This window comes from Homo sapiens, chromosome 3 (assembly GCF_000001405.40).
Source record: "Homo sapiens chromosome 3, GRCh38.p14 Primary Assembly".
Lineage (NCBI taxonomy): Eukaryota > Metazoa > Chordata > Mammalia > Primates > Hominidae > Homo > Homo sapiens.
In genome coordinates this window covers 77,633,603-77,650,243 of record NC_000003.12, presented here as the reverse complement: position 1 = coordinate 77,650,243, position 16,641 = coordinate 77,633,603, and the positions used below count along the sequence as shown (strand labels likewise).

Below are 16,641 nucleotides of genomic sequence, written 5' to 3'. Positions count from 1 at the left end.
TCTATCTAAAGGTCTTCATGGTATGGGGAAAGTAGCAGTGCTGATAGAATGGGGTCTGTATTTCAAATGCTTGCTGTATTCTTTATCAGCGTCTGTTAGTCACTACTAAAAGTCAACACCAGTTCCTATTTATCACTATTCAAACCATAACTGAGTGAGAAAACTGAGATTATGCATTTAGTCACAAAATATTAATGCAGAGTTCTAAAAGTGGCTACCTGGTCTTTTTTTAGCATGTCTACAAACAGGTTTGTTTTACATAAATGGCTTTTCTACAAATTTGAAATGTGAATATATTTTATTTTTTCCCAGTGAGTACACAATACACAATTCTTTGACAATACTATTAACCGATTTTATGCCAATTTCTTCTCTGATCTAACAACATCAAATGAAACACATTAAGATTTTGGATGCTGCTTGGTGACTTAAACAAACTACAGTTAAAAAAAATCCATCTATAAAACAAAGTATAAAAAGTCTACCCACGGCCACAAAATCCCTTTTCTTGCAACACTTTAAAATCACAACAAATGCTTTTTAAATTATGAGATTTAAAAAAATTAGTAAATTGAACATCTTTTTTTAGAAAAAAGTATGGTGTTTCATTTGAAGTACACATTATAGAGAAGCAAAACAAAAGTAATTTCACCTCTAAAATAATGTGGAAAGACATGTTGCTTTAGAACAGTTCTTGCCATGTAATTCCATAAACAATATACAGAAGCAGATGAACAAATTAGTGAATATTATGTTTCTGCATATCTTTAATACTGATGCACAGTTGCTTCCCAGTAGTGAAGATAAACCACAGTTTAGAGTTCAATGGTACTGTTATCATTATATTGTCAATGGACAATTACATAAGTTTATTGAATAGAAATTGAGAGGTGTTCCATCAAAGCACATTACAAACTTTCAACTCAAATCCTGTTGAAAACATATTTAAATACCCAGAGCATTAAACTATGACATAGAACACCATTAAATCTGTTTTGTACTCAACGCAAGTAAACTTGCAATGGTTTTACTTTTCTTGGTTGTGTGATACCTTATATGTTGGTTTTGAATTTTCTACATTCTCCCTTGAACTGGATTCAAATCCTGTGAAGGAATCAATTCTTTTCATGCCCCTGTACTATCCCATCTTATTTTAAAAATCTCACAGGACATGTTTGGAAGAGGGGTAGGGCGACTCCACCTGCATACACTGGCATACCTGAGTTTGGGCACCAATAGAGCTATTTTCCCAAAGAAGACGTTTCCTGTTATGAATGAAGCTGTGCTTGTATTGGACATGATTGCATTGCAGCATTGCCTATGAGTGCAAGATCAGATTACATTCTCTCCCACCCAGATTTCCTCTTGCAGTCCTTATGCAGGCCTCCATTTAAACCTGCAAGAGTGAGCTCAGTGAATTTCTAATCATATTCATTGAATCGGCTATGAAACGAGAAACTGCTGTGGCTCTCATAGGTATTTGTATTTTTCTGTTGACATCTGACTCAACACTGATTAGTAGCTTTTTACTACTTTGTCAGTAGCAAGCTGACAAAGGCTTTGCTTTCCAGTAATGTTTCTGAATTCCTTTGTATAGCTACATACAGCATTTTATCTTGCCCTCAATCTACCTGAGGGTGATATTTTGGGTGCATAAATTGACTGCCCAATGTGTTTAAAACTAGGTTTAATAGGCAACATGGACTATTCTGAAAGAACATTCCAAGTAACCACAAGCTCTGCACTGACATAATTTTAACTACAACAGTTAATTTTTATATGCTGAAGACAATCAGGAAGGTATGATGCTATGCCCACGTTATTCCAAAAGTCATCTGCACACACATACTTCACTTTGAAGCCTTGGTTTATTAATCACCAACACCTGCCAGTTACCAGGGATCAAAGGCTATGTGTTGTATATGTAATGAACTAAGGTTTTAGACTAAACTGGGTCATAGAGAAACATAAAGAGGGAACACAAAACCTCTTCGAAATTTGTTTGCCTTTAAATAGAAAGAGGTTAGGCAGGGAACTTCATAAAGAGATATTTAAAGTCCTCACATCCTAGAGTTGTGAATAAGTATGTATTCACTCTTTGAAGAAACTTTTCATCTTCCTCAGTCTCTTTGTCCCAGAGAAATCACACTGCATTAGAATTCAGGCACTGATGGTAGAAAGTTGATAAAGGGTTTAATAACTGTGTCTCAGAATTCTTTTTCTCTTCAGCGAAGAAATAAATTACATGGCACCAAAAAGCTGGTGGGGCCCATGAAGAACATTACATTCTATACTTGCCTGTGCTGATGCAGTCTCAGGGAATAGAAAGGATGGAAATGTTTAATTATGTCATCTCCTTGTTATAACGACGTGACAAAAATTGGCTACTGAGCCAATAATGCATGGAGTGCGAATTGTCACTCAAAGGGGTCCCGTATTTTAGAACTGATCCTAATCACGTTGAATATTTTTAGAAGAGTACCAACAACTGAACTTATCATAGGAAAAATTTGAGAAAGTATAGACAGAAATAAAATTTAAGATTGTGTAGGAAACCCATGGGAAAATGTCACAAGTGGGAATTTCAGGAAGGTCCTCTTCTACTTGACTGACTATACATGTACAGTAGCTAACATATATTTCAAAGTCACATTTATTCTGAGCATACATGACTAATGTTCAGGAACTTCTTGTTGTCAAAGTCGTGAAAACAAATGAGGCAGGACAATTATTAATGTCCACTTACAAGGTCTGGTTTTATTTAAAAAGTTTATAAACATGCATTTTTTTCTCCTTTTAAATTTTTCTTTTCAATTTCCTTATTCAAAATGGGTCAAACGTATTTTAGTTGGAAGCCAATTTCTGAGAATGTACCATAGAATATTTATTCCAATAAATCTACTTACTGCGAACTGAACATACTCTCGGCACTGTTTTTTAAGCACGTACAATTTGGCTATACATTGGGTGGCGTAAACTTCACTTCTTAATCAAATAAAAAACAAGTTGTATATAAACTGTATTATTTTTTAAGTCATGAATTTAAGTGATGCAGCTCTATCCTCTAGTGTGCACTGTACATGTATTAGAAAGATGAAATAAGATATTGCAATAGAGTTTATATTTGGAAACAGCCCGAGTATGCCCTAATAATAAATTGCTTCTTTAACTATTTGCTAGATATTCTAGAGTTCATTTTGTTCGTTTCCTTGGGGAACTTCATATTATATTCTGACTTAACGAGTTGGAGAGCTTAATTACGATAATTCAGAAAATGTTTTTAAAAAACTGTAATATAAATACAGCTCTTGCAAAACACCTTAATTTCCTCTTGCTTATTGTAATTCTCAGATGGGTCAATTACAATGACAGGTAAAATTGATTCTAAATAAAACTTTAATTTCTTTTTTTAAGCAAATTTATTACATCTTTGCTACCTGCATACTTTAATGCATATTCAGTCTTAAGACTTAAACTACTTTTTTTGACCCCGGCTTTTGTCAATAGTAAAAGCCACCTTTCTACTATTTTTTTTATTGACTCAGTCCCTGATATTCAAAGAAGACTTTGCCAACACCATTGTTCCTTTGCATCTTCCTATTTCTACACCCCAACTGAAAACCATCTAACATGATTTGTTACAGCCATCATTATCCAATCTAGCTTACAGTACAGAAACTCCCTTCACATTCAGTCTTTTTCTTCATGTCATGAGGAGTAGAGATTTGTGCTTATCACCAAATAAAATTGCAGTGCAAAATTTAAACATAAAAGTTACACAATTAAAAGTTAATATATGGCACCACAGCCTATTAATTCACATATAGTACAACAGACCAATAAGAACAGACAATAATATGAGCAGAGCTAAAAAGAGTGAGCTTGCATAGCAATGCACAAAAGAAATTATATACAGAGGAGAATCCTTTTCTTCCTGTAGGGCGAGTTTTGTTTTCTTTCTTTTTTATATACTCCTGACAAGAAAGAGTTAAGGTGGGTGGTGTACTTAAGAGAAGAACACAATGAAAATATCTGTGGGATATGTGTGGCTGTGTGTCTTTACATTGCATTTACAGTTCTTTTAATAGTACATAAATAAATTGTTCATTGCACTGTTTAGAGTCATCACTTCCATGAGTCCGGACCTGATGGTCCTTCAGAGCAGCTTTGTATGTCTCCTCTCATTTACTCTAAAGAAAGAGAAAAAAGTAGAAATAAAATATAAATTAAGCATTCTGCTTTTCTGACCAGCATAACAAAAAGCAAAGCCAACAGATAATCAATGAAAATAAGGTCTTCAGATAGATGAGTTTGTGAATTTAAGTAATTTTACTTGAAGGAGATGATCAAAGAGTAAAAGGAAAGAAAACACTATAGAATTTGGAAATGTAAACACCCAGTAGAACTATTTTGGTACTCCTGTGAGTCTGTCATTACTTCAAAAAAAAGTTAAAGAAAAATTCAAGTAGTTATGAATCAAATTAAAATTATAAATGAATCTTAATAATAGATTAGCAATAGTCAACAACAATGACAACTGAGATCAATAAAGAAATTTATAATTTTGAAATTATTTCTCTTTTCATCATCTCACAGAATCTTCCAAACAATCTGTGATGTGAAGATAATGGTAATGCTATTTTTCTGATGAGGCAGTTAAAAATATTCAGCAAATATGTTTCTGATAATGCAAAGCTGTATTGGTAACTTTCCTGAGGAAATTAACACAAGGAGTTCAACATTTTTTGCTGTGACATTCTTAATTTTCCCTATTACCTAGTATTTTACATTTAGAAAATTAATTGTACTAACTACCTATGCCAGTTTTCATTCATAAATGGAAATTTATTTATAAAATGTTATTGTAGTCAAAACATTACAATTTAATTAACAATCAAAGATCAACTCTTCAAGGGTGACTACCCAAATTTAAAAAATAAATATAGAGTAACTTGAAAATGAAGCATTCCTTAGGAGTTTCTTTAAAACTACCAAAAGGCCAGTGTCTCCATTTCTTTATTGTGTTCAGTTAAAAAGGCAAAGAAAATGATAAACACTCTATATTTAATTTCATGTATAAGTGTTAAGACTACTTGCCTAACTTAAAACAATTTTTATAGCATAAATCCAACGTGAAATAGCAGAAACATTTATAAAAATGGACTTCAATAAATATAGCAATGGCCTAAGTTATGACCAAACTTGTTGAAAATTGCAATTGATTGTTTTTGTAACAGAGCAAGTTTTCTATTAATCTGAAATTTGTTTAATGTGGCAATGTTATTAACCCAAGATTCTTTCTGAATCACGATAGCCTTTTAAATGACCTAAGCACTTACATAATTCACCTGTAAACTGTCCTTGACTGTTGGAGCCCATATATCCTATGTCAAGAAGGTCGCTGGCATTGCGCTGGTGGCCTGCTCTCAACACCTCGGTTTTCCTAGGTCCAGTGGATCCCTTAGAAGAAGCTGTTCCTGATGAGCTGTGGCCACCTGGAGATGGGAAACTGGGCTTGCTATAGGGCACCAAGGCCTCCTCTGAAAAAGAAAAAAAACCCAAAGGCTAAATTGAACAGAAACATGGAGGCAAACTAAACTTAACTCTTGAATATAACACTGTGAATGGCCTACTTTACCATTTCATTCTTTAATAAAATTAAAATTATGAAGTTTAATCAGGACCGGATATTAAAGAAATTTCTATGTGCAAGCAACATTTCCTACAATAGGAACCAAAGCAGAATTAAATTAAAAGAGATCTTGGGATAAGTACACAATGTTATATATTATTTGCAAAATTTAAATTCATTATAAAAGAGAGCTGCATACAATGAACTACAGTTTAACAAAAGCATATCTGAGAATAATTTCTAAAGTTCAATGAGGCTCCAATTTAATTTTCCCATTAAGATTAAAGAAACATGTTTTTTGTTTCAGCTTAAATTATGGCAACATTTTCTCAATTGATTTAGATAAAGAACTATATATTAGTTAAATAAGCTTTTAAAATTTATGTTGCTTTTTGAGACAGAAATACATTATTTAAAGGGCTATGTATTTCCTTAAAAGTAAAAGAGAAACTCACACATTTAAATAAATAATATGCTAATTTTTTTTTTTTACAGATTGTCTCTCTACAAATAACTCATGACATATGTTACAAATAATCACTCAATAGTTCAAAAATTGTTTTTTCTTTCCCTCTCTATTCTCATTGCTCCCTCTCCACACCCCATCCCCTCTGTCTTTCACGTTCTTTCTATGTATGGGCTATTATTTTGTGATTAATGCTCACTGAATTTACTATTTCTCCCCTTACATAGTCTTCAATGACAAGAACCACATGATTTTTCTCTCACAGCCTGAATGGTGTAACCTTTCTAAATGTTTCACTAAACCTAGATATTAAAATTGTCATCTACTGGCCCTTGCACAAATGACATTTTCCAAAAACTTGAGCACCAAGTTGTGACAAAATGTAGTTATGGGAAATGCATGGAGAGGCCTATCTACAACACATTAAGTCCAAATGAATAAGTGAAAAGACATTTTTTCAAAGATTGTGTGTATGTGTATGTGTGTGTTTCAGTACTCAATGAATCCTGACATGAGATGTCTCAGAAAATGCGTTTATAAAGCAGGCTCCCCACCTCCCGCGCCACACCTCTCCCCCCAAAAAAATCTAACTACAAACAATGAAATTTATTTCTGTGACATTTCCAGGAAGCTTGATTTATAAAAAAGAGCATTTCCCATAGACAGATTAACAACCAACTAAATCAATCAACTGATTAACAGTTGGAGAAAGTGCAAGCCCAGTATAACCTTATCTAATTTGAGGATCTGTGATTGGGCATTTTTCTGCAACTTTGTAATTTTAATGAATTCACATATTTGATGTGAGTTCTCCTTTCGAATGACTGGTTATTTCAGCCAAAATGAACAAACTTGCTGAAGGCAGAGATTAAACTGACAGAAAAGATTAAATTTAGCGATCTTTAAAGTACTCAATATAAACATTAATAGGCCAAAAAATAAAATTTTCTACTGAGCCGTTTAGATGAAGCCTGGAAGTCTCTTGGGATCAAAGACCCTGTGGAGAGGCTGACTGAGGAGCAATGCCCGTTGGAATCAGCCTTAAGGCATGTACTGGTAAAATCTCCTAAGGAATTCCAAATTCCATTACGATTGAAGGCAAATGTTTTTCAGATGCCCTTAAACAACTGCCATTTCTAGAATACCTGGTAGGAAAAGAAATGGTAACAGTCCACACTTTCTTGGGACTGTGCAGAACACACCTGATCCGACACCTTGTTTGTGTGGGGCTTTCCGTATATCTTCTTGTCGTTCTGTGGAGCTTATCCATTCCTGGGTTTGTCGCTGCCACTCTAGGGAGGTTCTAGCTGGACAATCCAATGAGCTCTTTGTGTCTTCTAAGCTGGATGCATGTTGTCTCTCTAGAGAGCTTCCTTTTCTCTCTGCTGAGTTTTCCACGTTACCAGCCTGCTGGCTCGGGCCTATTTGCTGCCTTAAACCCTGACCTGGCGGGGGATCTGGTGGTGGTGGAAGATCTAAAAATTTTGAATAATGTTTAGAATGGACTAAAATTTAATGAAAAATACAGGTTTTAGTTCAAGTTGAAGAAAATCTTTGCCCTTATACAGGTATTACCCATACAAAAAAAATTTGGGGAAAATAAAAGTCAATTATTTATTTCCAAAGCTCATATTATTGCTCTCTCTGCTGTCTTTTGGCCATAGCATCATTGAAACAAAATTGACTAGTTTTATTCAACAGTTAAATGTGGAAAGTGTTTTCAGTTACATATTGAGGCTATCATTCAAGGTGTAAAGGGCAGTTCATTGTTTATATTCCATCCATTGTCCAACCCTCCTTCCCCAAAGTAGAAATACCATGACACAAAATAAGATCACTAGAAATTCCTGAAGCTGTACTAACAAAAGGCCCCAAGAACAAAAGCTCTCCTGCCAATCTCCAAAGGGAATGTCACCCTCGGGAAATTTAGAACTGTATGCCGTGTCATATGCAACATATGACTGCCTTTACCCATGTATGTGGCACATTTAACAACATTAAACTAACATTTATTAAATGCAATTAATATTCTGCTTGACAACCAATTCTGGCTGTTCGTTTCATGAGTTAGCTAATGAGTTACAACTAATATATTACAATCTTCCGATGTATTAATTTTAATAAGTAATAACCAATGTTCAGAGTAAAGACTGAATGTGTTTTATGGTGCTAGAGAAGACAATGCCTCACAGAAATTTGAGATAGAGTAGAAGAGATAATTTTTCAGAAAAGCTCTTTAAAGTAAATATCAGATAGGAAAAAATTTAAGGTTCCAATATCAACTCCCTTTTCATCTCTCTTTTATTAACTCTTCAGATCATAATACCTTTATATTTTGTATGCCTTCGACTGTGAAATCACAGTTCTTTCTTTCTCTTTTAAGTATGTATTAGTTCTGAAATTACTTTGCTGAAGATTTTGAAATCTTCTGAACATCAATTTGTATCATTTTCTTCTCATTTTTCTTGCATGCTATTGTAAACTTCTTTGTTCATCCTTAGAATATTGGTAATTATATTATTTTTTCATAAAGACCAAATATCATATAAAATATACATTTATTTCATTAATAGAAGATATTGTACACAATGTATTCAATTATTTCTGATGCCATTTTTGTAAATGTATTCTGTTGTCTCTAATAATATTCTGTTTGTGAAATTTAGAAGGAAAAAGTATAAATTTCTTGTAGACAAAAGATAGCTTCCTTAACAGTCAGCTAAGCCGCTCCTTTCAAAAACTTCAAGAACCTTTATACTCTCTTTTATGAGCAAAGTGATACTAATCTGCATTGGACTGATAATGTTGGTCTCTGGAGCATCTCCTCTGAGTTCCTAAGTTGGAGCAGCATTGCCAGTTCTTACGTATGTCCTCATGTTAAATTATGAATTGCTAATAACTGAAGGGAACAGGGTCTCTGTTTCGGAGGATAAAGTTGCATTTGGAATATTTTTCCAAAATGAAGAGCTAATCCAATATTGAGATATCTGTTTGTTGGATAATCCAATGAGTTTGGTGTTTCCTTTATATTCGATAGTACTGACTTCCTTCACTATATGTTATTATAAATGCAAATTAATTATTTCATTTGATTGATTGAACTTAGACTGCCAGTGAGGAGAAATTATTGTATTTTCTTCCAAAATAACTTATCTTGTCATTGATTTTTATTCTGCATCAGAGCAGCTTAATTTTTAAAATGGCCAAAACGGCATCTGCTTATGCAGCTAAAATTCTGATTATTATTTAATTTAACCTAAAATTATATAGCTTCATAAGTAATATCCTTGGAGTTTGTATATTTTAAGAAAGGACATTACATGCACACTGAAATAAACTAATTGGAAAAAGACATGGGATTAAGAATGGTTTTTTGAAAAATAAAAGTATGTAATCAAATACATTTACTTAAATTAAATTTATTATTCATTTCTATGTTGATTCATTTCCACTAAATCAATTCACTATAAAGTCTCTTACTGGCCTACCGAGGATTAGCTCTTTTCAGGCACACAACAGTCCAATGAGATAGGTGCCATTATTACCTTCTGTTTTTAGACAAGAAAATGAAGGCACAAAGTAATTAAAAATCTCCAGCTTGGATCTTTCCTCCCATGAACTCCAGACTCATGTAACCAGAGCTACACTGGACAGTTCCACTTAGGTGTTCAGAAAGCTTCTCAAATTTCATGTATGAGAACTCAGCTCTAGATCATCCTATATAAAATATGCGGCCGGGCGCAGTGGCTCACGCCTGTAAATCGCAGCACTTTGGGAGGCCAAGGCGGGCGGATCACGAGGTCAAGAGATCGAGACCATCCTGGCTAACACAGTGAAACCCCGTCTCTACTAAAAATACAAAAACAATTACCCGAGTGTGGTGGCGGGCGCCTTTAGTCCCAGCTACTCGGGAGGCTGAGGCAGGAGAATGGCGTGAACCCGGGAGGCGGATCTTGCAGTGAGCCGAGATCGCCCCACTGTACTCCAGCCTGGCGGATAGAGCGAGACTCCGTCTCAAAAAAAAAAAAAAAAAAAAAAAAAAAAAAAATGCTTCCTCTGCAGTGTTTCTTCTCTCAGTTGGTCACAGTTACATTCTACAAGTTAGCCAAAATTTCAGAGTAATGTGGTTTGCTTTCTTTATGGCCTATGTTAATTTCATAACAACTCCCGTTAGCTCTACCTCCAAAATCCAACCTTTGTTAACACTGCCATTGATTCTCCTTTGGTATGAACCACCGTCATCTATTCCCTAGGTAGCTTCCACAATCTCCACCTTGCCTCATTTAGTACATCTCAACACAGCAGCTAGAATAGAATGACTTTTTAAAAAATATACAAATAAGATCATGTCACTTCCCTGCCTTACACACACACACATGCATGCACACATATACACACCCCGTCCAGTGGTTTACCATTCAAAGTAAGAGCCAATGTCATTATGGTAGCTTAAAGGTCTCACAAACACTAGCCCTTGTTTGCTTGCCTGACTTCGTACTCTATCTTGTTTCTCTCTCTGCTCCAGTCATATCGTTCCCTTTCCTTTTTATCAAATAAGTCTCAAGCTTCACTTGCCATTCTCATTTCCTGGAATAACCTTTCCTCAGATATCAGCATTACTTTTTTGCTTATGTTATTCCAGTCTTTTCTGAAATGCTGACTTCCTGGTGAGGACTTCCCCAGTCACTCTACTTAAAAATACTTCCTCCCTACACCTATACTTCTCAACTCCCTTCCCTTTGTTTTTTCCCCATAACATTTATCACCATCTTACTTATATGTTCATGTATGTACTTAGGTTGGTCTTTATCTATCTTCCCCAACTAAAATATAAAAAGGCAGGGGATTTTGTCTGTTTGGCTCCCATTGTCTATTATATGTTATATACTTAATAAGTATTTGAGTGAATAGATTAATTAATATGTAAATTTATTTGCTCAAAGGCCAAAGCTAGTATGTGGCAGAGCTGAGAAAGAGCCCCTTCTCTGAACAGGACATTAAGAACTAGGGGAAAGGGGCCGGGCATGGTGGCTCATGCCTATAATCCTGGCACTTTGGGAGGTGGAGGTGGGCAGAGAGCCTCAGGTCAGAAGTTCAAGACTAGCCTGGCCCTCATGGTGAAACCCTGTCCCTACCTACCAAAAATACAAAATTTGCTGGGTGTGGTGGTGGATGCCTGTAATCCCAGCTACTTGGGAGACTGAGGCAGGAGAATCGCTTGAACCCGGAAGGTGGGAGTTACAGTGAGCTGAGATCGCACCATTGCACTCCAGCCTGGGTGACAGGAACAAAACTCCCTCTCAAAAAAAAAAAAAAAAAAAAAAAAAGCTAGGTGAAAGGGAGAATAGGCTGGAAATAAATTATCTAGGAGAAACAGGTTGATGGATAGACAGATCTATCTTTTTTAGCATTGGTTAATATATTGGCTTCCAAGGGTATTCTTTGATTTATAAGACAAATGGAATACAAGATTTGGACTCAGCAATGCCTGCTTTGGAGAAACTTTACAAAAGGGAGAAGAACACTCTTTAAGATGTGTGTGGGTTTTTCAGTCTTTGGGATACAGACTGACATTTCCCACCATTCATAATCTCTCTTATGGGACACAGGGAAGGCAGCTTTCTCACCCCAGTAGTTAGTTTGACACCACGTGGCAGAGTTGTTTTCAATGAAATAGAAGTGATGTGTGCCACTTGCCATTACAACCTCCCAACAACCACTCATGTTCTGTCTTCCCCTCAGAAACCATAAAGGTCTGATCCAGAAATGATGGTATCCCAGTGCTAAAAAGGCCTACATCTTTACAATACTGCTTAGAAAACAGCAAACACTGTTGTAAAATCTATAATGCAAAAGGTTTATTGTAAAATGTCTGTACAATCAATGCTGCTAAGTATCAGCCTTCCCAAAAAGAACAACTTGATTTTTACATAAAAAGTTATGAAATTATTTCTGACATATGGATCCATACCATATAAATGCTATGGCATATGCATTTGCTGCAAAATAACAATGTTCTTAAGGATAACCTGTAGAGCACCATCCAAAATAAATGTCTTTGCACTGTATCATAATTAAAATGGCTTTGGATTAAGCACTTGGGAAGATATGTGGGCTGAAATTTCCTTTGCTATATCACTACTTCTAAAATGTATCATTTTCTAATAACACATAATCCATAACCCCTTTTTGAAATGCTGGCAATTTTGAAAATTTAGAAACATTTATTTTTTAGAAAGATAAGCAATATATTGATCATACTTTAAACTAGGAGGTAGCTTGCTTTAAGGAAACATTCTAAAAAAGCTTGCAATAAAAGTGTCTTAGAAAAAAAGAGATCTGTATTTTGTTGATTTATATTTTATATCTTCCACATATTCTGAATATTATCTTCAAACATTTCTGAAAAACCACAGAAAATTCTATACCTAGACATTTTTCTCTCTCCACAATATTCACAACAGAAAAAATATACAAAATTATCAATTACTAGATTTATACCTAGCAATTCAGTGAAAGTAGTCCTTTTTTATTTACGAAGAATTAGATGAACACTACGAATAGTTTTAAATGCTCAGCTAATCTTCTGAACATATAAGGCAGAAAGGCAGTGGTGACCATTTTTACTCACCACAGGATACACATTTATAGAGACTCAAAAATCTCAATTCTACCCTTAACCTTCATATTCTATTGAAAACAAAGGAAGCAGGAAAGATAAGTAAACCGGAAAGTATGTAGAACAATATATTTGGCTTTTTAAGTCCTCTTACCTTTGCAAGATGACAAAAGAAAGCACAAATAGGGCTGCAGGATTGGATACTCCCTTCCCCAAACTAATAAAAAACCAATGCTTTTCTTCTTTTTCAACTAAGCTTCATTCTGTCCTATAATGATAAGTGTAAGTGTGCTAAGGACTAAGTCATAGCTTCTCTAAGGTAGTTATACTTTAGATTCACTTGTGGAGCTTTAAAATTACCTGTAACTGGGTTTCACCCCAGAATAATTAAATCTGAATATCTAGGGTATATTTTAAGAGCTTTCCAGATGGTTCTAATGTGCAGTTTTTAAAAGTTTATCCTTTTGGTGTTTAATTGAACTATGTTAGGATAATGTTTGTGTGCTTATAGGGTACAGTGCTGAAAAGGAAAAAGAAATTCACCTTTCAATCTGACATTGTACTACACACTTTAAATATGTGTTACATATCCTTAGAATATAACTTCAGGATACATATTTTAATTCATTCTTTAAAAGTTATAAGAATTAAATTAAAAATACGGGAAATAGACTATATTCTGTAAAGCTAATGAAATACTCATTATCGAACATGGATATCTTCCAGTAATATTGTGTTTCCTGAAACTAACAGTGTTTAAGCAAGTATTCAAATGTTGGATGCTATATATAAATAAAAATATTGAGCTAGATCAGCAAACTATGGCCCATGGGCCAAATCCAGCCACTGCCCATTTTGTGAATGATGTTTTATTGGAAGTCAATCATTTCCATCATTCTACTTTTATTTTCCTTCTTCCTTTTCTTTTTTTTTTTAAGAAGGAGTCTTGCTCTGTTGCCCAGGCTGGAGTGCAGTGGTGTGATCTCAGCTCACCGCAACCTCTGACTCCCTGGTTCAAGCAATTCTCCTGCCTCAGCCTCCTCAGTAGCTGGGATTACAGGCACGTGCAACCACGCCCAGCTAATTTTTGTACTTTTAGTAGAGAGGGGGTTTCACCATGTTGACCAGGATGGTTTTGATCTTCTGACCCTGTGATCTGCCCGCCTCAGCCTCCTACAGTGCTGGGATTACAGGCCTGAGCCACCGTGCTTGGCCTATTCTACTTTTCTTATAGCTGCAGTCATACAACAATGGCAGTGTTGAGTAGTTGTGACAGAGACCCTATGTCCCAAAAGCCAAAGATATTTACTATCTAGACTTTAATAGAAGAAGTTTGCTGACCCTTTTCTAGAGTCTGGATGTTTGTGTACCCCCAAAATTCAACGTTAAAATCCTAATCCCCAATGTGATGATATTGGGAGGTGGGGCCTTTGGCAGGTGATTCGATGATGAGGGTGGAGTCCTCATGAAGGGATGAGCACCCTATAAAACACACCCCAGAGAGAACCTTGTCCCTTCCGCTATGTGATCATACAATGAAAAGGCACCCTCTATGAACCAGAAAGTGGGTCCTCACCAGACACCAAATCTGCCAATGCCTTGATCTTGGACTTTGCAGAGTCCAGATTTGTGGAGAAAATTTATGTTGTTTGGAATCTACCAGCTTATGGTACAGTCACATGTCACTTAATGATGGAGATAAGTTCTGAGAAATGTGGTGTTAGGTGATTTCGTTGTTATGCAAGTGTCACGTAGTATATTTACACGAACATAGATGGTATAGCTGACTACATACCATTGATCTGGGGTAAAAATCTGTGCAGCGTGTTTCTGTACCGAATGTTATAGGCAGTTATAACACAATGGTAAATATTTGCATATTTAAACAAAAAAGGTACAACATAAATACAGTATGACATCCTTATGGCACCACTGTCTTATATGCAGTCTGTCATTGACTGAAACATTGTCATACAATGCATGACTCTATTTTTTTATAGCAGCCCAGACAGACTAAGACACTCTTCAACTACTGTAGCCTGATTTTGGCTCTGAAATTTGTGACTAAAAAATTACTAAATCATTTCAAAAGTCTTTTTTTCCAAAAGTGAAATAGCAGCTAAGATATTGTAATTTAATATGATAAAAGTTCTGATCATATAAGTGCACATGCAGCTTATGTTCTTCCCTACTCTTAAATGCTCACTAAAAAGCATTTATGAAATATGCCAGAATGGCAAAAAAAAAAAAATCAACCTCAAAAAATTGCATGGAATGTATTTCTTGAGGCTTAATAATATAGAAATAATTCTAGATTGTTTTTAAAAATGGTGTTTTATTTAAACAAGGCCATATTGCCAGGTTTTTGTCTTGTTATGTAATGAAGCAATGGCTAATCTACCATGACTACATTAATCTAAGTAAATGATTGCATGGAGCACGTCTCTTCAGCGAGGAAACAAGAGTAAAGGGAAGAAACCTACCATCTGTCATTCCTTCCCTTCGATGAGGCAATGCTGGTTGTTGGTCCATCCGCCCTCCCTTGTGTTTTTTAGTGGGCCGAGGCCTCTGACTTTGACTCAGGGCTGCACTGGTGTTACTGTCAGTAGAAAATGGGCTGGTAGGTCGAGGTCTTTGAGAGGAGGTAAAGGCTTTTCCTAAAATGAAAATAAAGGGAATGGGTTCTAGAGAATGACATTATAGCACACTGATTCTGTCCTATATTTCTGCACTATGACTAACCTGTAAATCTACCTAGAGATAACATATGAAGATACCAAATATTGGTGCATCTCTGTAGAAAAATGTATTTTCTACATTCTCAGCTGCACATATTTTGTTCAATTTTTAATAAGCTAACAACACCCCCACTGGCCCCCTCAAAATCAAACAAATGAACATAAAACAGATCCACCAATCCACAACTCAATATTGCATGATTATACTTTTATTTAACCTTGACAATATTATTGATATTGTCAAAGATATATGCAAATTCATGCAGTTTTTATTTCTTAAAATTAAAGAAGCTATTTATGAAGTATATACTGTTGTATTTGTTTAATAAAATTTCATCCTTGGAAACTTACAAAATCTCTCTGAACACAGAAAAATGTCATATAGTAATTACATCTGAAATTTTACATGAAAGGTCTGCTCAGACACATATATTAAATTGACCTTACCACTTATCCACATACACAATGAATTCTATCTCTTTTGGCAGAAACTCAACAACATCTGTGTAGAGGATAGCAGGTTAAAATCACCTTGTATATCCAGCATGCAATAGGTATTTTCTGATTAATATTATTGTATCTGAGCAGGCTCCAAATTCTCATTGAAAAATGATATGTGCTGTGTCCTTTTCTTGTGGTTTAGAGTAGGTATACGGGGAAATTTATTCTGGGAAAAGGTTAGCTAATAAATTTTCAACAACTTATGATTTCAATACCATGTTTATTGTAGTAACAGAGGCCTGGTTTATGTGCATGCATTTATTCTCCTGTGTATGTTTTCATTTCATACAACATTATTATATGTAGTTACATTTTCTTACGACGACGTGATATGATATTACTTAATGCTGTGTTAGCTATTAGCATACATGCAGGAAATGCACTTGTGCCTTCTAATGTATTAGTTTCCTTGCACGTTCTCACTGCTCTGTTTACAGCTAATGCTGCAAAAAGCACTCAAGCAACATAAAGTTTCAGACTTATGCCTTATAATGCAAGACAATTCAAATAACAGTTCTATTACAACGTATTTTAGTTTGGATGCTATTTGAAAAATAAACCTCTGCAATGCTTAGAAGATCTTTTTTATTTCACTTAAAGATAGCTAATGTATGCTTAAAAGAAATATTGATGGTATAATTCCAAGAAAACTTCCAAGACTCATTTTTATAACCTGAGAGTTTAG

General features: G+C 35.0%; 1 protein-coding gene across 41 annotated transcripts in view; it reads right to left on the bottom strand.

Annotated features, from left to right (window-relative positions):
• Positions 280-16,641, bottom strand: part of ROBO2 (roundabout guidance receptor 2) — a 1,743,290-nt gene continuing 1,726,928 nt past the window's right edge. For 17 of the 41 annotated variants that reach the window (NM_001378195.1, NM_001378200.1, XM_047448673.1 and 14 more), the window contains 3 exons: positions 15,201-15,374; positions 5,340-5,540; positions 280-4,190 (listed from right to left, as the gene is read on the bottom strand). In NM_001378195.1, the coding sequence (NP_001365124.1) occupies positions 4,189-4,190; positions 5,340-5,540; positions 15,201-15,374 (377 nt within the window). In that variant the 3' untranslated portion in view covers positions 280-4,188. Of the gene's footprint in view, positions 4,191-5,339; positions 5,541-7,300; positions 7,574-15,200; positions 15,375-16,641 lie in introns of all 41 variants that reach the window. The other 24 variants (NM_001378191.1, NM_001378190.1, XM_011533983.2 and 21 more) reach the window with 4 other exon arrangements.